Genomic DNA, 25,996 nt, shown 5'->3' with positions numbered 1-25,996 from the left:
TCTCACTGTTGGGAAGCGAGGAGTCTGAAATCAAGGTGCTGGCAGAGCAGTGTTCTCTCTGATGCCTGAAGGGCAGAATCTGTTCCATGCCTTTCTTTTAGCTTCTGGTGTCACTGGCAGTCCTTGGCACTCCTTGACTTGTAGACGCACCACTCCAGTCTCTGCCTTCACCATCGCATGACAATCTCCACCTCATCTCCCTCTGTGTCTGTACCTGTCTCTGTGTCTCTTCTCTTCTTAGAAAGACATCAGCCATACTGAATTAATGTCTACTCCACGGACTTCATCTTATCTTGATTATATCTGCAAAGACCCTATTTCCAAATCAGATTCCTACCAGGTTAGAGAGAAGCTGTCACAATAGCTCAGGTGAGGCACAATGAGGACCTAAGAAGAAAAGGAAGTATGAAAAGAGCTTTGGGTATTTTATTTTTATTTTTATTTTTTAGCAGAGTTCACAGTTCAGAAAGACCATGGCTCTCAGAGCTAAAAAGGTGCCCAGAGCCCCCAGGTCACAAATTGGAGACTCACAGACTGCGCTGGGCTCACAGATGTGTTTTAGTTGGCTCAGGCAGCATAGTTAACAAATTTGTAAGTGTTGCCAATGTTTAAAAGTCAGGAGGTCTCCTATAAAAGTTCAGATTTCCAGATTTTTTTTTGAATGTCAGATGATCTAGTGTTCTTGCCTTCCCACATTTCAACAATGGGCTGGCACAAAGGCATGACCATCCCCTTTGGAGGGAACAAATGTGCTCTCCACCTTTTTTTCATTCCCACCCAGCCATCTCACTCATCCACCCGCCTGCCGACCTCTGTCAGGTTTGACTTCTTGCAAGGGAGGAAAGGAAGGCCGAGAGACAGAAAGACTTTGCTTTCATGATGAGTGCAACCACAGATGAGTCCAGCAGGGGCAGGTTGCGGTGGAATGGCCCCAACTCAGACACCTTCAAGGTAAAGAGACAAAGATACCAAAGAAGGCCATGCACAGCCTACAGGTAATTTCAAGAGAAGGGCTCCACCCGGAAGCCAACCTTTGGGTTCAGACAGGACCCTGGATTTCCTGCAGAATTTCTTGTGGGAGATGCTAGACAGAGAAAGGGAGAAAAAGAACCCAAGGGCTGGAAGCTGACCCTGACAGCGGGAGAGGGAGTTTTGCTGATGATCCTTTGCATGCTGAGGCTTTGTGCTTTAAAGGGACTTTCACATTCTGTTTTTATTAACTGTACAGTGCAGAGCAGATGGCACCACCATTCCCTCTTCTCAGGTGAGGAAATGGGGGTCTAGAGGATTTACTGTGAACTCTGAGGTTTGATAGTACATGATAGGGAGCTATTTAAATTCAGGATGTTTCCCTGTGAGCCCAGTGCTCTTTCCAAGGAAACACCCACTATTTTTTTTTTTTTTTTTTTGAGGTAGGATCTTTCTCAGTTGCCTAGGCTGGAGTGCAGTGGCACAGTCATAGCTCACTGCAACTTCAACCCCTAGGCTTAAGCCATCCTCCCACCTCAGCCTCCTGATTAGCTAGTACTACAGGCATGCACCACTATGCTCTGCTAATTTTTAAAAAATTTTTTTGAAGAGACAGGCTGTGTTTCCCAGGCTGGTCTTGAACTCCTAGACTCAAGCTCTCCCCACATAGCCTCTCAAATTCCTGGGATTACAGGCATAAGCCACTGCGCCTGGCCAACACTCACTATTTTGAAAGTTGTATTTGCTCTCTGGCCACAAGGCTGTACTTCATTTGTGTCTGAAGTTTCAACTCAGGCCTGGTCACAACAAAAGCTAAAAAGGTTAGCTTACCCCAGAAGGGACTGAGTTAGCTAAAGAGAACAATCTCTAATTAACCACTTACCCAGACCCTCCCTCCCACCTTCCCTCTGCCCTCTCCTGCTTCCTTCCCTCATCAAATAGTAAACTGTTAAACACCTCCTAAGTGCCAGGCAGTTTGGTAAGCACCAGGATTGCCCTCTGGTGCTCACAAAGCAGTGGTGATCACTGTGCGAGCTCACAGAGCGCAGTGAAGTGTTCTAGACACACAGAACACTAAAGCGAAGCCACAGAAAGGGACAGGGGCCCAGGAAGTCCTTCTCAGGCCCTGGGAATGTGCCTGACTGACCAGGTGGATTTCATTCATTTACTCAGCAAATGGTTAATGAGCATCTACTCTGCACTGGGCACTGTTCTAGGTGCTGAGGTTCATCAGTGCCCAAAGCAAAATAAGTGTCTGCCCTCAGGTTGCTTATACTCTTGTGAAATGTCTGGACGAGTAATTTACGTGGCTTTAGGCAGATCCTTTTCTAAAAGCTATTGCATTGCCCAAGTGGAATAACAGATCCTCGTAACCGCAATAACTGCTGTAGAGATATTTACATTCTGTATTATTGGGGCACAGAGCAAGGCAACAGCCAATGCGGTGAGACATAGACCAAACAACCAATGGCCATGAACAAGCTAAATAAGTGGCCTCATTTCCTGAGGCTTCTGCTTCTGGAAGTCTGGAGGACCAGAAAGCCCTACTGCTGTAGAAGTTCTAGATGCAGGAAGGATCCTTTTCACAAGAGCGTAACCAAGACAGTCACAGGCTGCATCTGAAACCTGAAAAAACAGCCCCCATCGTGGTTCTGGGGGAGATTGTTCCTCCCCAGGCAAGGTCCCCTTCTTGTCTAAATTACTTCCAGCCAGATAAGGGGCAAAGATCAAATCTTTTCCAGAATAAATGTCTTTATGATGATACAGGGGAAAAAAAAAAAACAGTAGCCGTCCATGCCCCCAAACAAACAAAGAAAAAGAAAAAAGAAAGGTAGCAGTCCTTATCTTTGAGTCCTCATTCACCACGTAGAGTCAATCTGAGAACACCCGTAAGTAGGTGGACTTGACCGTCACAGTGGGAGAAGGGGCCACTCAGGGAGCACAGAGAAGTCACGCTTTGCTTCTGCTCTCAAGCCTTGTGGCATCCTACTTTAGTACCCTTTCATAAAATAGAGTGCTGATAGAAATTGGGATTTTAATTCTAGTTCCCTTTAACAGAATGTAGCAATTTGGGAGAAAACAGAGTGTTTATTCTTGAATTAGTGATGGTCGTTAGAAATAATAGCTATCGGCTTCAAAGGACAAAGAGATAAAGTTAGGAGCCGTGGTCAGTTGAAAGAAACATTTCTTGATTAGAGAGCTATAGCATAGGCACAGGGCTTGGATAAACGTGGTCTTTTTCTGACCACTGAAAGAAAAGAAGCAAGACCTGTCCTAAAATTACCAAAAGCTGTTGCAATTAAAAAAAAAAAAAAGTCCATGTTAATTAGAGAAAAAGAGAGAGACATTTTACAGAGTCAAGGAAGATCACATAGATGACCACGCCAAGGAGACGTGTAAAGTGTTGCAAAGTATCGTGGGGAAGAGGAAAAGGGCAATGAGTGAGATTCATGATTGTTAAAGGTTAGTGAAAGAAGTCTCTACTGATTCCGCAGTGTTTGCATTTCTGTTTTTTAAAATATGAAATACTATACAACATAGTAAATGTGTATGCTTAGTTGCATTAATGAAGAACATTCCCTGTCTTTTAAAAATAATCTAAATGGGCTGGGCACAGTGGCTCACGCCTGTAATCCCAGCACTTTGGGAGGCCGAGGCAGGCAGATCACCTGAGATCAGGAGTTCAAGACCAGCCTGACCAACATGGAGAAACCCTGTCTCTACTAAAAATACAAAATTAGCCCAACATGGTGGCACATGCCTGTAATCCCAGCTACTCGGGAGGCTGAGGCAGGAGAATCACTTGAACCCGGGAGACTGAGGTTGCGGTGAGCCGAGATCGCACCATTGCACGCCAGCCTGGGTAACAAGAGTGAAACTCCGTCTCAAAAAAAAATATATATATATATAAATGGTAAAATAAATTTCAAGGTCTAATGCCCACTTGAAAGAATCTTTCTAGAGCCAATAAGTTCAGATTTCAAGGTTTCAATTCAGGCCCTACAGTTCAGCCAGAAAGGCTAACATAGGTATAACCTGTGGCCTCCTAATTCCAAAGCAAAAATCACAGTATGATCAGGTATTTTGTTACTCTCTGATCATTTATCACTAAAAATCACACAGCTTCCATTTTCTTCTCTGTCAAAGCTTTGTTACGATACATCATGCTGGTCTGAATCAGTGCTGCTCAGATTTTCATGTATATTTAAATGACATAGAATGTTATTGTTGAAACGCAGATTCTAATCCGGTAGACCTGGGGAGGGGCCTGAAATTCTGCATTTTGACAGGCTCCCAGGGGCTGCTGCTGCTGTTGCTGCAGGCATGTGGACCACACAGTTAGTTCACTCATCATCTCTGTTCCAGCCACCCCAACAACGTTTGAGTGAGGGAATACTCTGGAGCTATGGCCCTCAAAATTTCCAGTGCATCAATATCACCTTGGAAGCTTGTTGTAAAATGCAAATTCCAGGGCTTTGGCCCCAAAGATTCTGATTTGCTGCTGCCACCTCCCTATGTGGGTAGACCTGAGCTTGGTGGCATCAGGACCAGGCAGTCAGGGTCCTGCCATCTTCCCAACCTGGCCTCCAGCTTTTCTTGAAAATCTCCAGCTTTGATGGCCTTTCTCCTCTTCTCTGAATGTGCCATGCTCGCTCTGTATATTTGAACTTAAAAAAATCAAACCTGGAAAACTATCCCCAAATCTTCCCAGTTTCCTGGTGACTCTCTGTATCTTTTTTTTTTTTTTTTTTTTTTTTTTTTTGAGACAGGGTCTTGTTCTGTCACCCAGGCTGGAATACAGTGGTGCAATCATAGCTCAGCTCACTGCAGCCTCGACCTCCCAGGCTCAAGTGATCCTACCAGCTCAGCCTCCCAAATAGGTAGGACTACAAACATGCACCACCACGCCCGGCTAATTTTTGTATTTTTGTAGAGATGGAATTTCACCAGGCTGGTCTCCAGCTCCTGGGCTCAAGCTATCTGCGTGCCTCGGCCCCCCAAAGTGTGGGGATTACAGGCGTGAGCCACTGCACCCGGCTTCCTTTTGTTCTTCAGTTCTCAGCTCAAATGTCACCTCCTCAGAGGGGCCTTCCCTGACCACCCAGGCTAAAGTAGTGCTGTCTCCCATAGTCTCTCTCTTTTTTTTCCCCCGTAGTCTCTCTATTGCCTTCACAATCCCTGTTACTCTCTAGAATGATCTTGTCTGTGTGTTTGTTTATTGATTCACTGTCTGTCTTCCATGGGAGTAGGGGCTCCACCTGCCTTGTTCCCCCCACTGAATTCCCAGTACCTCACACAGTGCCAGAGAATTGAATGAATGAAAGGATGCATGAGTCCACCCAGGTTGAGAAGCAAGGTGTAGAATAAAATAATGTCATGAGTTCTGGCCTTAGAAACTTCAGACTGCAGAGTGAAGCAGATGCGAGGGTTTAATGAGGAAAAGGATCAGATGAGTAGGAAAGGAATTGCTTTGCTTCCTTCAGGGTGTGGAAGAAAATTAAATTAGGAATAGAGGATGGCAGCATGTTGCAGCTTTCTTGTTCATGTGCTGTATAATACAACATTCTTTGTCCTTTTTCTGTGTCTGATTTTGAAATTATAAAAATACGTGCTCATGGTAGATAATTGGGGAAAGCAGAAAAATTTAAATAAGAAAATATAGATGGCATTGTCCTACCACCCACGGAGAGCTATGGTTTTCATTTTTGTGTTTTTCCTTTTAAAATACTTTCTATATTTTCAAATCTGTATATCTTACAGAATCCATACAGGGCACATAACATATAATTCCATGTTCTGCTTTTCTCTAATGCCTATAGTATCTTTACAAACATGTTTTTAAGTGATTGTTTAATATTCCATTATGTGGATGGAAATACATCATTAATTTTATTTATTTTACTCTATGTTCAGAAAAGCATTCTAACTTTGTGCTAGCTCTCTTTTAAATGGAATAGAAACATCTAATAAACGAATTTTTCCCTTGTTCAGAGTAGTGGTTCTCAACTGGGGATAATTTTGCCCCCAAGAGACATTTGGTCACGTCCAGAGATATTTTTGGTTGTCACAACTGGGGAGAGGAGGGCTGCTATTGGCATCCAGTGGGCAGAGGGCAGGGTTGCTACTAAACATCCCACAGCACACACAACAGCCCCCTAACATCAAAGAATTACCCAGCCCAAAGGTCAATAGTGCCGAGGTTGAGAAACTCACTATCTAGGACAGTATCAGGGTTAATATTCAACATCCACTTAAAATTCAAATTAGCATGCTATCATTAAAAGTACAGGACTTTGCCCTGGGATTCTGCATTAGAATCATGTCTCAGCTAATTAGAAGTCTAGTTACTAGAATCTAGAATAACTGAGTTACTAGAATCTAGAATAACTGATATTTTACCTGCATAATTCTTATTTTATTAGAAATTTTAAAATATCAGTTATTCCAGTGAAACTGGAAAGTGAAACTAGAGATTGTATTTTTAAAATTAAGCTCCAGGAATGGACTTACTGATTCTGGAATTCATCCTCGATTGGGTCCATACTTTCATGTAAACATTGCTGCATAGAGAGTGTGTGAGGCCAGTCCCAGGCTATTAGTTGATCGAGCTCAGTAGAAAACACTTTCTAAGACACAGAAGTGATTTGGCCATTAGAGAAATTAGATCTCTAAACTCAAAAAGGAGTTTTGATGAGCACTTAGTTAAGTGTGGATGTTTGGAATCGTGTTCCCTGAGCCTTTCCTTGAGTGGAGGTTTCACAACTTTATAGCTTTTGCAATATGTGAATTTGTTGGGGAATTCCACATTTAGTGGGCAAAATCACTGAAAACAGCCCCCTTCCCTTCTGTTGAGAAATGCGCTCATCCCTTTTATCCAAGACTTAGATCTTTGGGACTTTACCCAACCTTTGCACAGAGACAATTGGTATTGAGATAATTTGTTATGATATACCTCCTGGGTGATCCAAATACCACTGGTTCAATCCAGAACAAAGAGAATGTCTGCGGCACCTTTTCTTCGATCAGATTCTTGCTGGGGTTTATTGTGAATGGAAGGGGAGTTTAACTTGGAAATGTTTGGAATTGTGTTTCAGATATTTAGAAGATTAAACAAAAAGTCTTCCCAAATGGGTGCTGGGTAAGAGATATAAAACTCAACAGAAATCAAGAATTGCTGCCTGAGATGTAACAACGGAAATGCAATCTTTAGTTAACATGGACTCAGGATTTAGGGAGGGTGAGCGTGGGCTAAGGTCAGTGATTCACGTCTTGAGATCGATTCGTGCCTCTGACTAGATCATCTCTGTGTGCTGCGCTTGTTGGCAGCTAAGCCTTCTGCAGTATTTTATGGGGCTCATCTGCAGAGCCTCAGACTGGCAGTGAGGGGTCAGTGGAGCCTCACTTGCTATCGGATCATCTTCTGGGGGAAGGCATTTTCCCTTCTCCTCATCTCCTCTCCCCAGGGTTGGCTGAAAACAAGAAGTTTTTCTGGGCTCTAATCCACAGCATCGGCTAATGACACAGACTGTATCATTTGGGAGGCCTGAGAGAAGAAGGGGGAGCTGGGGAAGAGAGACAGAGTCCTGAGACTGGAAGACAATTTAAAATAAGCAATCATGGGCTAAAAGAGAGTATGTTGGCTATAAAATAAGTGCAAGAATAAAAGAGATGGATGGGAAGTCAATTCTCAGGTGCAGTATTTTATTTTTTCTGCTCTTAGTTGGCAACCTTTGGTTTCCAAATACTCATTTTCTTTGTAATTTTCCATTAACACATTGATTCAAATGCTGAAAATGATATAGCTAGTGCTTAAGATTTGCAAGGCTGTAGAAAGGCAGCACATTTCTCACTGGCAGGATATACATGTATGCAGACATAAAAATATACCAAAGCATGCAAGTGGCTGCACAAGAACTTACTTCTGAAAACACACACCCACATACGATCCAACTGATCAAACCCCAGCTGGAAAGGACTGTAAACTTAGGCAGTGTGACAAATGGGATTTGCTCATAGTCAATTGAATCCCAGATTCAAACAGTTTGGACTAGAGTTGGCTTGTGTGGTATAGGTATTAAGAATAGGTGGTTGTAGGGAATAAACTTCAAAATGTGGACAAATGTGCTTCCAGCTTCAGAATTTCTCAAAATAATGACTCCAACTCAAGTAGAAATCTCCAAGTCAAATCTTGATTCAACAATTCATCTTTGATTCAACAATTACTTAGGCAGCATCTATCTGCCTGCCAGATACCATGGCGATACCATGTGAATATGATATTAACATTGCCCTCAAGAATTAGAAGTCTAAGTGGGGCATAAGACAAGCTTACAAATAGTTGTCAAGTAAGTCATCAAGCCCTGGTTCAAACTGACTTTGCAATTCTAAGTAAGAGCATTAGAATTGGTTCCTAAGATTTCTTTCAAATGGTTCCATTAGTGCAATGGGCCTCCCAGTAGAACAGAAAGTCCGGGTTGTGGTTAACACTTTACCTACCCATAAGCAATGGCGTCTGTTAGTTGGATTCTTTGTTAAAAACAAAGGGAGCTTTCTTATCAATAGAGTTGAAGGTAATATGATTCTAGAACTTTTAGCCCTAGAACAATTTTGCTTCACACTAAGGGAAACCGAGGCCTAGAAAGGGTAAGTGATCTGGCCAAGGTCATATAGCCTGTTATTTGAAAGAGCTGGGAGCAGAATGCAGGGTTGTAGATTTTGAGTTTTCTATGATCTTCCTGTTCTTGCATGCCTAATTCATAATAGAATTCATGCCTAGAAATCAAGTCAAAGATCTTTGCTGTACTGGGTTTATATGCTGAAAGATGTATCCTGATCCAGGCAGGAAAGACAGAAGAAGATTCTGTTGAAATAAACCATGTAAAGTGCACAGCAGAATGTGTGTCACATAAGAAAGTTCAATGAACATGAACTACTATCCTCATCTTCATCATCATGATTACTATCATCATTTTGTGTCTTACTTTAAGCAAATCCAATCTACAAAAACCTCTAGTTTAGACCAGGTGTGGTGGCCTACACCTGAAATCCCAGCACTCTGATAGGCCGAGGAGGATCACTTGAAGTCAGGAGTTAGAGACCAACCTGGGAAACATCATGAGACCTGTGTCTACTGAAATCAAAAAACAAAAAACAAAAAAGGTAGCCAGGCATGGTGGCACACCCCTGCAGTCCCAGCTACATGGGAGGGTGAGGCAGGAGGATCACTTGAGTTTAGGAGTTTGAGGCTGCAGTGAGCTATAATCCAGCCACTGCATTCCACCCTGGATGACGTAGTGAGGACCTGCCTCTTAATAAAAAAGAAAAAGAAAACCTCTATTTAAAGAACTGGTAAATTTACTTCTCATAAAGATTCTTCACTTTACAAAGGCATCTTCAATAGTTTAAAATTTGATCTGTACTCTGAAAAATTTACACAACTGTAATACATTGTCAGGTAAAAGAAGATACATTTACTCTCAACTTGCCTACATATTTGCATATGGCATGAGAAATGTTAATTAGATTTTCATTTGTATTGTCTACATGACAGTGATAATAAAAGATGTCCATGAAGTCTAGAAATGTAGATATTATGAGTTGCTTTTATGACTGAAGATGTCTTTGACCACATTATTAAATATTTGTCTGTTTCCAGACTTCATGGGTACACTGTAGATCATAAACATAGTAAACAAGAATAAATTGCTTAAAACTTTGGAGGAATTCCTAATGTTTTGTGTGCTTGGTTTAAAAAAAAACACTTTTTTATGACAAACTCTGACTCAAAGGAGGATTGAGTTATTTTGTTTGAGTTAGTTTAATGTGTTCAGAACTGGGCAATTTTTTTTTTTGTTTTTCTAAACTTTGTCCTTCTCCAAAGTTTTACAATTAAATCATCAGGGCTAATTTTTCTTAGGCATTTCTGAGCTCTACAATATGGAGAATTTTATCCCATAGAGTTTTTCTTTTAGTCTCCTTTCTCAGATTCATGCTGGAACTAAAAACAATTTTAAGGATAATGTTTTAAAATAAAACTCTAGGCCGGGCGCGGTGGCTCACGCCTGTAATCCCAGCACTTTGGGAAGCCGAGGCAGGCGGATCACAAGGTCAGGAGATCGAGACCATCCTGGCTAACACGGTGAAACCCCATCTCCACTAAAAATACGAAAAATTAGCCGGGCATGGTGGCAGGCGCCTGTAGTCCCAGCTACTCGGGAGGCTGAGGCAGGAGAATGGCGTGAACCTGGGAGGCGGAGCTTGCAGTGAGCCGAGATCACGCCACTGCACTCCAGCCTGGGTGACAGAACGAGACTCTGTCTCAAAATAAAATAAAATAAATAAATAAAATAAAACCCTAAAAAAAAAAAACACAGAACAGATTACTTTCTAGTTTGGCTCTTAATATGATAAGGGGATTATCTGTAGGTATGGAAATATGGGGCTATTTCTCAATTTTCTGTGCTCAAATTACACTGGTTTCCAGGTTCTGCAATGACAAAATCATAGCCTGGGTGAGCATCTGCCTGGTCAATAAGTGGCCAGCATTGGCCTGAGTCAGCTAATTGTGCATAATTGGGATTATGTCGCAGGAATTGCAGTCCCCTCTCCAGACAAAGAAAATCACATTTGTGCTGTTTCAGGTGACCACTGATCTCTCCTGGCCAGTGACAGCAGAAACTTGGGTTCTTGCAAAGTCTGTCTCTGCAGACGGCCAGGACGGTAGGGATGATCAGTTCTGGGATAAGCACGAGACAACAAGCAGTGGGGGAGGGGAAAAAGGAGAAGGGGGCTGGAAAATAAGAACAACATCAGCGGGAGAAAGTCTAGTGCTGGAAAAATTATTGTCACCCAGCTTTTAGATACTGAAATACAGGCACATTTATTGTCTGATTCCTGTATTTGTACTGCAGAATCTGCAATGATTTTGCAATGATTCTGAAATGAATCAAGTCAGATACCTTGTGGGCCAAGCAGGAGCATGACAACCAACCCTCAGCAAGCAGGTGACTGGTTGTTGTGTTGGAGCAGCACTCTTCACCCGGGGTCTTGGGGAGAGATTTTGCTCCAGTGGCACCAGAGCAAGGGCCTGGAGCTGTAGCAGCAGCAGCAACAGGAGCAGCAGCAGCATACTGGGGACAACAGCTGTTGGTGGTAAACAGGTGGAAGGCTGGAATAAAAGTCCTGTTCCCCAGCCATGATATTATAGCAGAAGAGGAACAGGGAGTTTCAGCATTCCCCAAACCCATTTAGAGAGAATGTCAAAGAAACTGTGGTTGACGCAGTTACAGCAGCACTGTAAATTCTTAAAAGAAAAAAGTTGGTGCAGCCTCAGCCCAAGGTCCCTCAAACTCAGCAACATTGTCATTTGGGGTTGGACATTCTTTGTTTTGGAGGCTGCTCTGTGCCTTGTAAGATATTTGGCAGCATCCCTGGCCTCTACTCACTAAACACCCGTTGCACCCCTTCTACCTCCTCCCTGCCTTCCAGGTAGTGGCAACCCAAAACCAGAAAGAGCCTTATCAGCACGTGGATTACCTGGGGAGTCACGCCTTCCTTGACCTGGCATGGTGTGTGTGCCCGTGTTCACATGTAAGGGTTTACATGCGGCTGTCCTGTGTTCTACTGACTACCCGAGAATGTTCCAGGAGTCAACCAGTTCTTGTTTTAAGTCAGTCCAAATGCACGGGTGCAAAGGCCACAGGTGGAGCCAGAAGGTGTACAAAGAGGCTGCCCATCTCAAGCCCTCAGACAAATTGCTGTGGCTGAGACACGAGCCTGTGGCTTCCAGGCTGACCCTACAGAGCTAATCACTCCCAGATCCACCTGCTCACCCGATACCTATTAGGTGATGGTCACTATTTCTCAGGACACAGAGGGAAGAAAGCCAAAGTTGCATCCTTTAGGGGACACACATTCCAGAAAGTGGAGGCAGCACAGAAATGTATGGATAATTTCAGGGAGCCTGGCCTTCCTCTGGCTTAGACTCCTGCAGAAGCTATGAAGCTCCAGCTTTGGGGTCCCCAACCACCAAGCCCCCTCTAAGACCTGGGAACGATCTTAGCAATGTGTTCATATATTTTTATGAAATTTGCAAAAGTATGATCATTTTTCTTGAAGAGAGCCTCTCCTCCAAATTGCATAAGCTACAGACCCCAGAAAACCAGAATCTCTCCCTGATTTTCAGCTTCCTGTACATTATAGAATTGAGTCCTACTCGAAATATATCAAGAAGGAGAATGAGGAACATGCATCCACTTTTAATTCACTGACAGTGCAGCGTAAAGAATACAGCATCATTCACAAACAAAGGAATGAGAAAACAAATTGCAGCTTGCCCATTGCATGGGGTGGATACTAGGGTGCTGAGTGCAGGGACCTGGTTGCTCATATTCACACACCCTAGAGTAGAGGAAGCAGTAGGAACCCGGACCTCCTCACCAGAGGGCTGGGGAGGGAAGCTGCAGTCTCTGGTTGGGAGGAGACGAGCAGCTGGCCAAAGGCCCCTTTGTAGAAACTGGCCATGCTCTTCCTCTGGGCTGGAGGCTCCAGCCTGGAGCTCCGGGCCTGCCCCTGGCTTTCTTCTGGCCATTGTGAGCGTGTATTGATCAGGCCGGGAAGCAATAGGCCTGCAGCAGCTGAAGCTCTAGGGTGGGCCGCATTGATCGGACCCCCGCCCCAGGATATTTATAGGATGGGCTGGGCTAGCAAATAATCGGGGAGAGCTTGTTTAACGAGGGTTCAGGGTGCTCTTCGCTAGCTGGTTAACTTTAAGTATTGGAAATGGAATTGATGCGCACATAATAATATTATGATTCATACAAACCACTTCTCAGGCAACTCAATATATTTCATTACCTCCTTTCTAGCAAATGTATTGATTTCTGTTTTGCGGTTTTATAACACAATTTCAAGGCTGTTGTGGGTTTAATGAGCCGTGTTCTTATGATGTTTAAAAAGATTTGAAGCTATTGTTGAAATAAATATTATGGATCACCCCCTCCTGCGGCCCCCTTCCTTCTCCCGGCTCTCCTCCCTCCTCGCCCCCACCCCCATCCTGCCCCCTCCCAGGCCCGGGCGGAGTCGTCCGCAGAAAGCCGGGGGCTGCAGCTTCTCGGCCCTTTGTGGCCCAGATCAAAGGACCCGAGCGCCACAAAGGCGGCCCCACTCCGGCCGCGCGGCCACACACAGCCGCACCTGCAGCGCAGCCAAATGTCATTGTCGCTTCTGCGGGGCGAGCGCGGGGGACGCACCTCGGAGACGGCAGATGACTCTAATAACGCTTGATGGGAATTGATGGGGAAGGAGGCGCGCGGTGCCCAGGGCTTTTTATTAGCTGCCTCGACTTCTCGAGCCTCAGCCCGAACGTCTGCACCTGTGCACCCCCTTTCTCTCGGCCTTTATGGAAGTTGACAGATTTTATTAACTTTAAGGAAGAACTTTCCAGCGTGGGCAGGGCCGCAGTTTATTTTGTATTCATGCGAAACGGAAACCGAAAAACCCACGTTTACATATTTACCGGCCTCCGTGACCTCCCTCTGGGGCTCCACAAGTCACGCTGCAGATTAATTTTGTCATAAAATTGACTGGTGTGCTAAGGGACGTTGGGAGTTAGGGGGATGTTGTTGGATGTGAGGATTTTTTTTCCAATGGGAGAAAGCTGTATTCAATTATCTAATATCTCCAAGGAACCCCCCAGAGATTTTCCAAATCGTGCAGAAATTGGAATTCTTTTTAAAAGCGTTTGCTCGTGGAGAGAGAGCATTTGTAGGCAACCCAAGTAGGCTCCGCTCACAGCAAGCTTCCCCAAATCTTTCTGATGACCTAGAAACAAAAGCAGGCACCAGAAGCATCTTCGAACTTTGTGAGAGTTGGTGCCCCTTGGAGGTTTGGGGATGGGGGCTCTTGCATGTGTTCTGCTCGGACGTTGGGGCTAAGTCCCAACACATTTGAAAGAACAAATTATGAATCATGTAATAAAATGATACGCTTGGTCAGGGAAATATTGTTACATAACCCAACACAGTTGTATAACTTCCACACTCTCACTATTGGGAAGAGTCTGACTGGGGCAGAGGATTAAGATTTTGCTTATATTCATAGTTATCCATGGCTCTCCGAGTGCTTCCAGGTTTTATGTCTCATAACAAATGGAAGTCCACGGCTATGAAAATTCATGTGATATTAATGGCCAAGTGTTGAAAATTCAGCCACAGAGTCAGCTGGGTATACTGCTTATTAGCTTAAAAGCACAAAGCTTTCTGGAGCTTCTTTTTGTGAGCCAGATAAACTTCAGATGAACTGAGGATCATTTTGCAGGAAACTCTGAAGTTGAGTAATAATATAAAGTAGTTAGTAGAATATTACACTTTTCATTTGGGCAAACAGATGGGATGCCTGCTTTTAGATTTAATCAAGGGCTGACAGACAGGTAGGACGCCGGCATATTTTAGTTGGAGTCTCTTTCTTTTCAGGAAAGAATGAAACTACTTAATATTCAGTGTATCCTCCCCCCATCACCCACCCAGCCCCACTATTCCACAGTACCTTGTGATCTCTCACGCCTTTTTCTCATTTCTGATGACATTACAAAGTACAAAGGTCATCCAACTGCAAGCAAATCCATTTCTTAACATATTTTTCACTCTATTCTTCCCTTACAAAAAAAATTATAGAGGTGTGCAGTGTGTGTGTGTGTGTGTGTGTGTATATGGTTAAAAAAATAAAACAAGGGCTGTTAAATCACCAAGAGCACACCCAAATCTCCATTTACATAGACACAGACATAAATAAACGATTTAACAATTTGGGAGTCATGAGTCTCTGACCTCATGCTTTCTCAACTAACCTTTTTAAAAGATTTTGATATCAATTGTTTCTCTTTTTTCCCCAGAAGCATAATACATGGTAACCTTAGCATGCACAATCTGTTTCAACAGAGGGATACAGACAAGTGCAACCAATGGTGGATTTTAATGTCATGGTAGAGCTTATATTACCTTGCTCGAAACAAAATCTCCCCCCCACCCCCTTCAAATGCAAGTCCAATGACACCCCCTTTGGAGATCATTTGTTATGCAGAGTTTCGTGAGGCAATCAAAATTAATTCACAGTGATCTTTTCACCCAGAGCCTCCAGTTTCTAATAATGGTCTTTCTCAACAGGTGTTCATTGTGGCAGTCTGACTTCAAATCGCCAGACTAAAGGTTTTATTCTTTAGTCATTTCTTTTTTAATCTCGAACTTGTAATTTACTAATCTGCAGCAGCTGCCAAGAAGGGCGCAGCTGCTTACTGAGAGGGGAAGTGTACCTCCGAGGAGGCAAGGGCAGGGAAGAACTTCACTTCCAGAGGAAGAGGAGGAAGAAATTGAAATTCATGGCCTGGAGAGAGGTACAGTCCTGGGACTGGAGACCTGACATTGTCTCCACACTACTTTTCTCTGAGGCTGGTCCAAAATTGGTGACACCTGGTTCAGATTCCTTTGGACGGCTTCAGAAATAGGCTGGATTATGCACAAGTGCATAGAGAAGGGATTTTTAATAACAGCAACCACAACCACCCGATAAATACTATTCAGAAGAAAGGGACTTTTAGAAACTTGTATTTGTCCATTGGGCCAGTTTAGCTCTTGCTAATGCGCTGTCTTTGTCGACTTTCAAATCTGCCTCCTTTTAAGGTAACTTTAAAGAGACATGGGAGGAATTAAGTTTTACTGTAGAGATTCTTGGATTTCATGGCTCATCAGTATCATGTTGGCTGAGGGCGTGTGAGAAAGCATGAATCTAGGCTCCTGATTTCCAAATTGCTAGAACTGCAGATTCCAGAGCCCCAGCTCCAGAGCTTCTGTTGTGGTGGATCTTGGCACAGGGCCTGGGAATATGCATTTTAACAAGCACCATGAGGTTCTGATGCATGTGTTCTGGTTTAGTGGGTAACCCACAGAGAAAATCGAGAGGCCTTGATTCCCTTTGATCACAGTTAGTTGCTCCTCTTGCCTCAGTAATCCTATCTCTACAATGGGTTCTTGCTCTTCAGTCTCTTCTCAATCACATGGTTCTCAGAACTCAGCCTCTGAGCAGGTACACATGGGCAGGGCACGGTTCTCGCTAACAGGTGGCTTTCTTCCTAAGGAGATAACATACATATCTTGTACAGAGGGTAGATGAGGTCATCAAGAAGTGACCACCTTTGCCATGCAGTAATTCTTGGCCTCTGGTTTCTTTTGCAAATGATGCCTGCAGCTTGTTTATTAACTCTGGGCTGATCTCTGAGGCTATCTCCTGGCAGAGACAGAAATGGGGACTTTGGACAAAGATTGAAACTGAAGTAAATCCTCCCTGACATGTGGAGACCTGGGGCCCACTAAGGGTTAAAAGAACATTTGGATGCATCACTTGTACCCCTCAGCCTTGTCATAGACTAGAAGCCAGCTTTCCACAAGGGGTCAGAAAGGAAGGAGGGTGAAGCTCAGATTCCTGTCTGCCCCTAGACTTCCAGAAAGAAAATTTGGATTCTTTCTGTATTTAGGAGTACACATAGACACAAGCAGCTTCAGAGTCAAACCAGAAGTCACGTGAGAATCCCAAGCTACAGTGGAGAGTCTCGAAATGCTAGGCTCTCAAGGATTTATTGGAGACCTCATTGTGTTGTCGGCCACCCCTCCCCTGAGGCCATGCCTCCACAGAAAAATTGTCATTTGAGAGACAGGTTGTCCCACTAAGAGGGCTCAGGATATGATTTCTCCTTGGCCTTTTAGTTTGGTTGTTCCCTTGTGAAGGGCTCTCCTGGATCCCTTCAAAACCTAATTATGGCTGTAAAAACTGTTCAGAGAGCGAAGCAGTGCTTATGTGGATGTTGGGCAGTGTCTGCTCTGGCACATTTGTTCACAGGTGGGCCAGCCAAGCAGCTCGGCACTGATGGGCATTGATTTTGTAATATGTGAGCAACTTCACTGGTTCTGTTCTCATAGACTCTCTTTTGTTTTGGAGGGAGGGAGTGAGAAGGTTTCTTGAGCTCCAAAGACCAGATAAGCCTCTCTCTTGCCAGTAGCCTATGGATACAAAATTATTGTTTCCCAGTCTCATTTTTGTGTTGTACGAAGCAACCCTCATATATTTCAAATCAGAAAGGATGCTCACCAGCTTCTCTGAGAAAATGTGTTTTTATTCTTGTCCTCAGTGGGGGCCGTCCTAGGGTTGACATTGCCTAAGGACACTACAAAGAGGTTTCTAAGTGGGAATTGCCATGCCAGCTGCCATGCAGCTTTCAGGACTTGGGTACTGAATCTTCACCCCAGTGTGAAGATTCTGATTTCCTGCTCAACAGGATGTATTTGTGCAACTTATTAATACAGAAATACATACTTTACTATTATATCCCAACCCCACATATGGAAGGTACCAGAAAAGATTACCTTCACTTAACAAATGAGGAAGCCAAGGCCCAGAGAGCAGAAGACTCTTGCTCAAGGTCACACAGCAAACTTGAGACAGAGTATATTGCTCAGAGGGTAGGAGTCATCTTTGACCTATGCATCAGAAATTTGAATCTGTTGAACTATGAAACACTGGTGGAGCTAATAGACACTAAGAAAATAATTACACAAAACTATTTATAGTCATGGTAAGTAATGTGGAGACAGACTCCAAGGTGTTACATAAGGACTTGCCCAAGCATGAGGAGAGGGTGGACCGATTAAGGTAGGGTGGGTGTATCAGGCAGGTTAGGTTAGGTTTTGCTGTGTAACAAATAGCCCTCAATCCTCATGGGGTTAATAGGAGCTATTTATTTCTCTCAGGTAGGTCAGAAGGGACATTCTGCTTCTTACGTTCACTCAGAAACAGAATGAGAGGGGCTTCATCTCAACCCTGCTTCCACAGTCACAGGGGAAATAAAAGCATGTTTCTTCCTATAGGCAACACACATCACTCTGTCCACATTTCATCCCCAGTTGAAGTCACATGGCCACACCCAACTTGAAGGAGAATGGGAATGGGCAATCCCCCATGCGCCTAGAAGGAGGAGATCCAGAACGCCTGCTGCATAGATTTAGAGAAGGCTTCTCTAGTTTAGCTGAGATCTGAATTGTGTGAAAGACTTAACTAGTGACAGGCTAACATGAAGGAAGAGTGGAGGAGGGGTTAGGAAGTGGTGACAGTCCCTGGGCAGGGGAATCCTAACCTAATGGAAGAGCAGAAAGAAGCCCGAGGAACCAGAACCCAGACCACAATAGCCCTCATCCCAATAAGGCACGGCCAGCATATGGGCCAGGTGCGGTGTCTCATGCCTATAATCTCAGCATTTTGGGAGGCCAAGGTGAGAAGATCACTTGAGCTCAGGAGTTCAAGACCAGCCTGGGAAACATGGCAAAACCCCATCTCTACAAAAAATACAAAAATTGGCTGGGCATGGTGGTGTGTGCCTGTGGTCCCAGCTACTCAAGAGGCCAAGGAAAGAGGATCTCTTGAGTCCAGGAAGTTGAAGCTGCAGTGAGCCATGATTGTGCCACTGTACTTCAGCCTGGGCAACAGAGTGAGACCCTGTCTCTAAATTAATTAATTAATTGGAATTATTTTTTAAAAATTTAAAAATAGAAGCCAGCATAAGACTGTTAATCTCTACGCCAGGGGCAGGAGAGAAGCCATGCTGAGTTTTTTATTTTCTTTTAAAGATTTCAGGCCGGGCACAGTGGCTCACGCCTGTAAACCCAGCACTTTGGGAGGCTGAGGCAGGCAGATCATGAGGTCAGGAGATCGAGACCATCCTGGCTAACACGGTGAAACCCCGTCTCTACTAAAAAATTTCAAAAAAATTAGCCGGGCGTGGTGGCAGGCACCTGTAGTCCCAGCTACTCAGGAGGCTGAGGCAGGAGAATGGCGTGAACCTGGGAGGTGGAGCTTGCAGTGAGCCGAGATCATGCCACTGCACTCCAACCTGGGCTACAGAGTGAGACTCTGCCACAAAAAAAAATAAAATAAAATAAAAAATAAAGATTTCAGTGTTTAATGTTTATCAAATTTCATCTCTACAGCTAGCAGGATAATAGATGAGTTAATGGAACTCAGACCACATTTAAGAGAATGTTTATTGGGCAATCCCAATTACACCACAAACCAAACAACTTCTAGCATTTCCTGTGTTTGTACTTTCTTCATTTTCACCTTTGCCCAAGTCATCTGGTTTGTCATGGACACCATTGTGTGGGCAGTGATGGAATAGTGTCCTGAGAGTGAGACCAGAGAATCTTCAACAGACATGTTGGCGACACATCTTTGCCAGCGGCCACATTACCCAGGTCTCCAACCTGCCTCTCTTGATCCTTGGCCCACTGTGGTTTTTGGTTAAAGGATTAAAGTAAGGAACTGCCCTGGTACAGCCTGGTGTATTATCTCCAAACTGATGAACATGGAATCTGTGCTGGCGTTCAGTCAATCCTGTAATGCATTCTGACACCATAAATGGTTCATTTTCCTTCTGCTCAAAGTGGATGGTGCCCTGCACCGGGCTCTGGCCCTTCAACATGTACATGACCTTCATCATTATGACTCCAGGGGCCACACTCTGGTCTGGGCTCTGAGAGGTGTGAGGGACACAGGAGACACTGCAGGAGATGGCAGCACATGCTGACTTTCAAATGATGAGCCTGTAACACAGATCACTTTGGCTTCAATATAGGAACAGGTAGGTAAGGAGAGGGGCTGCAGGCAGTGGACACTTCTGTATTGCATCAGGCTCAGGAGGTGGGGAGAATGCCCACTATATTAGAAGGAAACTGTGAGCCAGAGAAGGTTAAAGGACTTTGCCCAAGAGTTGCAGCTAGCAAGTGCTACAGCCAGGATTTGAACCCTCTGTCTCAAACTCCAACCTTGCACTGTCCTTGCCATATTCACCAGTGGCCTCCCCGCTGGTGCTGGAAGAATTTTCAGCATGCTGCCTTCTCCCTTAGCACCTCACGGGGCCAGACTCACATTTGCAAGGCCCATTTGAATTTCATCGAATGAAATCTCTGGCCAAAGCAAGTTATTGCGTCCAGATTCCCAACTGCTGAGGGGCTCCTCTGTGCCAAGTGTCTAAGAAAACTTCCAAAAGATGATATTTGTGTGTCAACAAGGGTGAAGTGTTGGGGACCTCAAAGAGAAGTTTCAGAAATGGCTACTGGGGAAAGCCGAGAAGCTTTTCCCTTCCTGAGCCCCCTGTTCTCAATTAGCATACAAAAACATTTTTAAAGGAATAACCTTTACTAATAAAATGCTATAATCTCAATAAGACATTTCAGCAGGGGAATTATTAGATAGTAATTCATGCCTAGTTGCACTGACAGCTCTCAGCCATCAACGTTAGCCTAATAGCACACTAGGTGAGAATTAATATGCCATAATTCATGCTCTGTCATGCATTATTGCTTAAATAAGATACATGAAAAATAACCTATTCTGGTGAAATAACTGGTATCCTTAGAGTTCTCCTGGCCAAGCTATAAATAGTTATGTTAGGATCCAGAATTTTTTTGTATTACTAAATTTGAAATAAATTGTAGATATGTATCTTCATCTGTAATTACCGTGAACATTTTTCTTAAGTACTAACATTAAGTTCAGTCATATTCCATGTTTTAAAATTGAACTTAAGCAAAATCACATAATTTTCTTGAGACCAAAATAGAAATTTCTTTCCCCCATATATAATTGTATCTGGTACTTTGGCATACTATAGCTCATAGAGGCTATGACTTAGGAGCAGCAGAATGGGCCTGACTTAGAAAGGTACAAAATAGAAACGGGGGAGTGTCAGGGGCCTGGAGGACATTCCATTTGTGTTAATGAGGAGTTTGTGTCTCTCTGGACAATTATAGTTACTCATGAGTGCCTATGGTTTTCCTAGCAAGCGGGGAGTAGGGAAGTGGGAGGCAATCTCTGTCCTGCAGAAGTTTCGAGCCTCCTGGAAGGAACTGGATTGATGTAGATGACACAGTAACCTTGTCCTCATCAGGTAACAGGTGAAAAAATGTCAAGACATGAAGAGGAAGACCACGGAGTGAACTGAAAGAATTCTGTATACTAAGTGATAGACTTACAAAGTTATGAGATAAATTGGAAATGGAATCATTCATGCATTGATCATATTTTTATTTGATTTTTTTAGAGATGGGGTCTTGCTCTGTCACCTAGGTTGGAGTGCAGTCGTGCAGTCATGGCTCACTGCACCCTTGAACTCCCAGGCTCAAGCCATCCTTCTGTATAGCTGGAGCCACAGGCTCCACCACCACACCTGGCTAATTTATTTTAGTTTTTGTATAGATGGGGTCTCCCTATGTTGCCCAGGCTGGATCCTACATTTATTGAACACCTACTCTATGCCAGTCCCTGTGCTGGACACTTAGCACACAAAGAAGCTGGCAGTCCGGTGGGGGACATGGACACTTATCTATGATGCGACAGGATGCAAGCCAAAGCCAGGTGATGACAGAGCTCAGAAGAAAGCCATGCCTATCTCAGACTGGCAATGGGTAAGTTGATCAAAGAAAGCTTCCTGGAAGAGGTGATACCTTAGATGAATCTTAAAGGATGAGGAGAAATGAGCCAGGTAACAGATAGGGGTGAGGTGCGAGACGGCAACAGATGTCAATAGAGAAATTGCAAACAGAAGACAGATAGTGGCAGATCTTGCAGACCACGGTAAAGGGCTTGCATGTTGTCCCAACGCGATTAATTTTTTCCTTCAGATCCAGCTACCAGAATTTGGTACCAACATCTCCATTGCAGGAGAAGTCAGGGCAAAAGGTCCAAACTTGGGAGTTATCCACATTTGAAACCTAGAACATCAGAGTTTCAAGGGTTATTAGAGATTGTCTTATTCATCCTACCACCACCCACTTTAAAAATGGAGAAGCTGAGTTCCAGGAAGGGGAAGGACCTTATCAAGATTACAACAGATCTCTGGGATCCTTTTCCAGATGGTTTCTTCCTTTTAGTGGAAGGTTTTCCATTTGAATGATCAAATAAGGGAACTGACTACGTAAGCAGAGGAGGGTTAGCCTAAGTGGAGAAATGAATGGCTTACAACAACGATTTCTAGACTTCAGGCATTCTCCTCAGCATTCATAAATTTTACCATGATCAATGACTTGATATTTTTAACTGACTCCATTTTTTTTGCTTTAATGCATTATTCAAAAGAAAATGCTTACATCACTTCCATAAATGGAAGTTGACCTTCTTTCGCTATACAAAGATGCAAACCTGAAAATTAACTCCATGAACATCATCCTAAAATTCTAGCCAGATATGGTTGCTCACCTGAGGCCTACTCTCTCCTTTTTAAACAGAAAGAGCATCAAATTTTGGAGAGGTGCTAAAGATATATTAGCACCAAATTGAGGCTTTCTGCTTGTTTTTATATTATTGGAAGAAAACATAAAAAGGAATTTTTTTTTTTTACTGTGTGATTCAAGTTTATTAAGTAATGTCCCACAGTATCATCTAAAATATGTCATGCTTTAAAAAATACTGGACTAGAAGAGGTGAAATAAAATGTGTTATTACCACATGCCCCAAAGATGGGATATTGCAAGGATTTATTATGTAAAAGAATTAGAAAATGCCAAACTGGCATGTGTTTGTTGAAAACTTTATTAAAGAATCAATCAAACCTATTTCAAGAAACTCTTTACAAGAATACTTTCAGTTTTGCTCCTCTGGGAATGAGGGTAGTCCCCTGCCCTGCACCCTGAGATGGTCATGAGGCTCAAATTAGAATGTCATATGTCCAAGGGCTGTGCTTGTACCAATGAGCTGTCTCCAGAAATTTCTGGATCATTCCTTCAGGCCACCCCCACCACAGGAAGGAAACAGGGCACAGCCTCAGAGCAACACCTTCTGGGGAGTGAAGTCTACCTGTGATGTGTGGGGCATGTTGAGGGCACAGCACAACCCTAGCTTGATTTAGGGCCAACCAGGTATCTGTCAACTCTGAAGTGCGTGCCCTTGGAGGGGCTCCTGGTCTTTTGTCTTCCATGGGTCCTAGTTTGGGTTCTCCCAAAGCAGAACCTAAGACAAGGACTGAGGTGCAGGCATTTTGTTGAGCGATGATCCCAGGAAGCAGGAATGAAGGAGAAGGGAGAACAGAAAAGGGAAGGAGGGGAAAGAAAAAGTGATTTGGTGACTGCATGAGTTTGAAGAATAACACAGAATTCACCTTAGTACTATCCTGCCCACGGAATGAAAGTAGGATTATATGCACATTCCCACGTCCATTGGTGGAGGGTGGCCTTAGGTTTGGAGAGAGGCCACTGGTCCACTGGCATTGGATGTGGAACTGTCTACCACCCCAGTGCTGAAATCAGGTGTGCCAAGGGGACATGGCTCAGAGCACAAAAATCATTGCCTCCCTCTCCAACTGTGACAAATTTGGGTGCTATGGAAGCCAAAGGTACGTTGTACCCCAAGAAGCGAAGTTTTTTTTTGGCTTTTTTTTTTTTTTTGAAACAGAGTTTCACTCTGTTACCCAGGCTGGAGTGCTGTGGTGTGAACTCAGTTCACCACAACCTCCAACCTCCGCCTCCCAGGTTCAAGCAATTCTCCTGCCTCAGCCTCCCAAGTAGCTGGGATTGCAGGCGCCCACCACCACGCCAGGCTAATATTTGTATTTTTAGTAGAGATGGGGTTTCACCATGTTGGCCAGGCTGGTCTCAAACTTCTGACCTCAGGTAATCCATCCACCTCAGCCTCCCAAAGTTCTGGGATTATAGGCATGAGCCACCGCGCCTGGCAGCAAAGTTTTGTATTTACCCCAAATGGCGGTGAAGGAAGGTGGCTGATGGAATGGATGGAGTCTTGCCTTACAGTACTCTGACCTCTCTCCACACCCCACCAGGCCTTTCTCAAGGAAGCTGTCTCACCCTTCAACTTCTGGGGACATGTTCCAGTTAGAGAAACCTTTCTTTGGCATGGCAGGACTCCATTGACTATTTCAAGCTAACATTGATTTCTTATTTCCTTTGCTATATACCCAGGTGGAGAGGGCTCTTTAGGGCCACTGACTTTAGGGCTCAGTGGCCTCTTTCCACTTGTAATTTGGGATTTGAGCAAATTGGTCTTGGTGGGGAGTGGAAGGAAAGGAGAGGAAATTGCTAAAAGGCCATGGTCAGGACTCAAGGAGGAGCTACTTGTGCACCAGCTTCATTGTCTGTGCCTTTGAACCTCCCCCTGATCGTGGCCCTCTGAGCTTCTAGATTGTTTAAAGCAAGGCACAGGTGGAAACCACAAGAGGTGAGGGGTGGGGGCAGGTTCCCTTTCCAAGTCTCCCTGCCCCCTTCTCTTCCCTCCCAGCATGTCTGAAAAGGATGTGAAAATGTCAATTGTCTCCTGGCTCTGTTACTTTGCTAACCCAATCAATCCATATGAAAAGCACAGATTAAATTGACTGATCCTCATATATTTAATGATTGCTGCTATTTGACCAGGATGCGTTTCTCAGGAAGCGCCTGTCACAAGCTATCGATGGTCTTTTAATCCCGAGTTACTTAGCACTGGGCTTACTTTCTCCCTGAGATGACCAGTCTCCAGTGATTCCTCAGCTTACACGGCAAAAAACAAGATGCCAAATGGCTCTTCTTGATATTGGATGACTGGGTTTAATTCCTGGGATATGGATTTGCCAACAGATGCAGCTTCTTGCACATATAATTCCATGACTTCCAACTTTACCTTTGAAATTTCTAGGAAGGTGTCTGCTAATCTGAAGGGATGCTATGAGATTCTTAGACAAAAAAAATTCTCTAAATTTGTCACTATTTGCAATGCTATTATGTATGTCATGATAATATCAGCTAGTATTTTTGAAGTCTTTGTTTTACATGTTTTATTTGATTTTATAGTCAAAGAAAGGCAAAAAGGTTGATATTTTTATTATCTCTATTTGGAGATGAGGATACTGAGGTAAAGAGGTCAAGAAACATTCCTGAGATCACAGAGCTAGCTCATGGTGGAACTAGAATAGCTACCATGCTAAACGGCTGCACATACTGAGGGATTCACCACTGCACAAAGACAATAAAACTCACCGGCACTACTGACTGCTGTGTGTGATGGCTACCAGCCCTGTGATGAGATCTGATCAAGATGCCAGGTTTCAAAATATGGCATTACAGTCTCCTTTATCCTTCAAGTTTCTCTCTCTCTCTCTCTCTCTTTTTCAGACAGGGTCTCACTCTATGCCCAGGCTGGAGTGGTGCATTGGCACAATCACAGCTCACTGAAGCCTCCACCTCCGCGGGCCCAGGTGAACCTCCCACCTTAGCCTCCCAAGTAACTGGGACTACAGGCACATGCCACTGTGCCCAGCTAAATTTTGTATTTTTTTTTTTTTTGTAGAGATGGGGTTTCACCATGTTGTTTAGGCTGGTCTCGAACTCCTGGACTTAAGTAATCCCCTGCCTCCGCCTCCCAAAGTACTGGAATTACAGGAGTGAGCCACTACATGCAGGCTGTCTGTCTGTTTGCAGCCTTTGGAATACAGAATTCCCAAGAAGGCCTGATTCCTGGTGAATGCCTTAACTAATAATACTGTAGGAATACTTGTTCTAGTCTGTTCAAGCTGCCATAAAGTACCATAGACTGGGTGGCTTAACAACAGAAATTTATTTCTCACAGTTCTGGAGGTTGGAAAATCCAAGTTCAAGGGACTGGAAGGTTCAGCGTCTGGTGACAGCCCAATTCCTGGTGCATAGATGGTGCCTTCTCTCTGTGTTCTCACAGGGTAGAAGCAGTGAGGGGACTCTCTGGGGTCTCATTTATAAGGGCACTAATCCCATTCATAAGGACCTTATTCTCATGACTTAATACCTCCCAAAGGCCCCACCTCCTAAGACCATCACTTGGGGTCTAAGATTACAACACAAGAATTTTTGGGAGACACGAACATTGAGTCCATTGCCAACACTTATTGCACCGTGTATATTTCAACCTCTCCCCATCCAATCCACCCACTTTCTGTCTCCTTCTCTCTCTGCAACTGAGTCTGGTAGCACAT

The 25,996-nt window shown here is 44.0% G+C and overlaps 1 pseudogene, besides 1 other annotated feature; it reads right to left on the bottom strand.

Annotated features, from left to right (window-relative positions):
• Positions 12,344 to 13,974: an enhancer, noted in NCBI's record as "VISTA enhancer hs152". NCBI's record gives its function as "enhancer in: neural tube[5/6] | hindbrain (rhombencephalon)[6/6] | midbrain (mesencephalon)[6/6]" and the evidence as "EXISTENCE:transgenic organism evidence [ECO:0001131][PMID:17130149]".
• On the bottom strand, positions 19,055 to 19,495 carry SOD1P2 (superoxide dismutase 1 pseudogene 2; annotated as a pseudogene).

Source organism: Homo sapiens, chromosome 16, assembly GCF_000001405.40.
Source record: "Homo sapiens chromosome 16, GRCh38.p14 Primary Assembly".
In the NCBI taxonomy this organism is placed as follows: domain Eukaryota; kingdom Metazoa; phylum Chordata; class Mammalia; order Primates; family Hominidae; genus Homo; species Homo sapiens.
The sequence above is the reverse complement of the archived record's forward strand: the minus strand, read 5'-3'. Positions and strand labels throughout refer to the sequence as shown.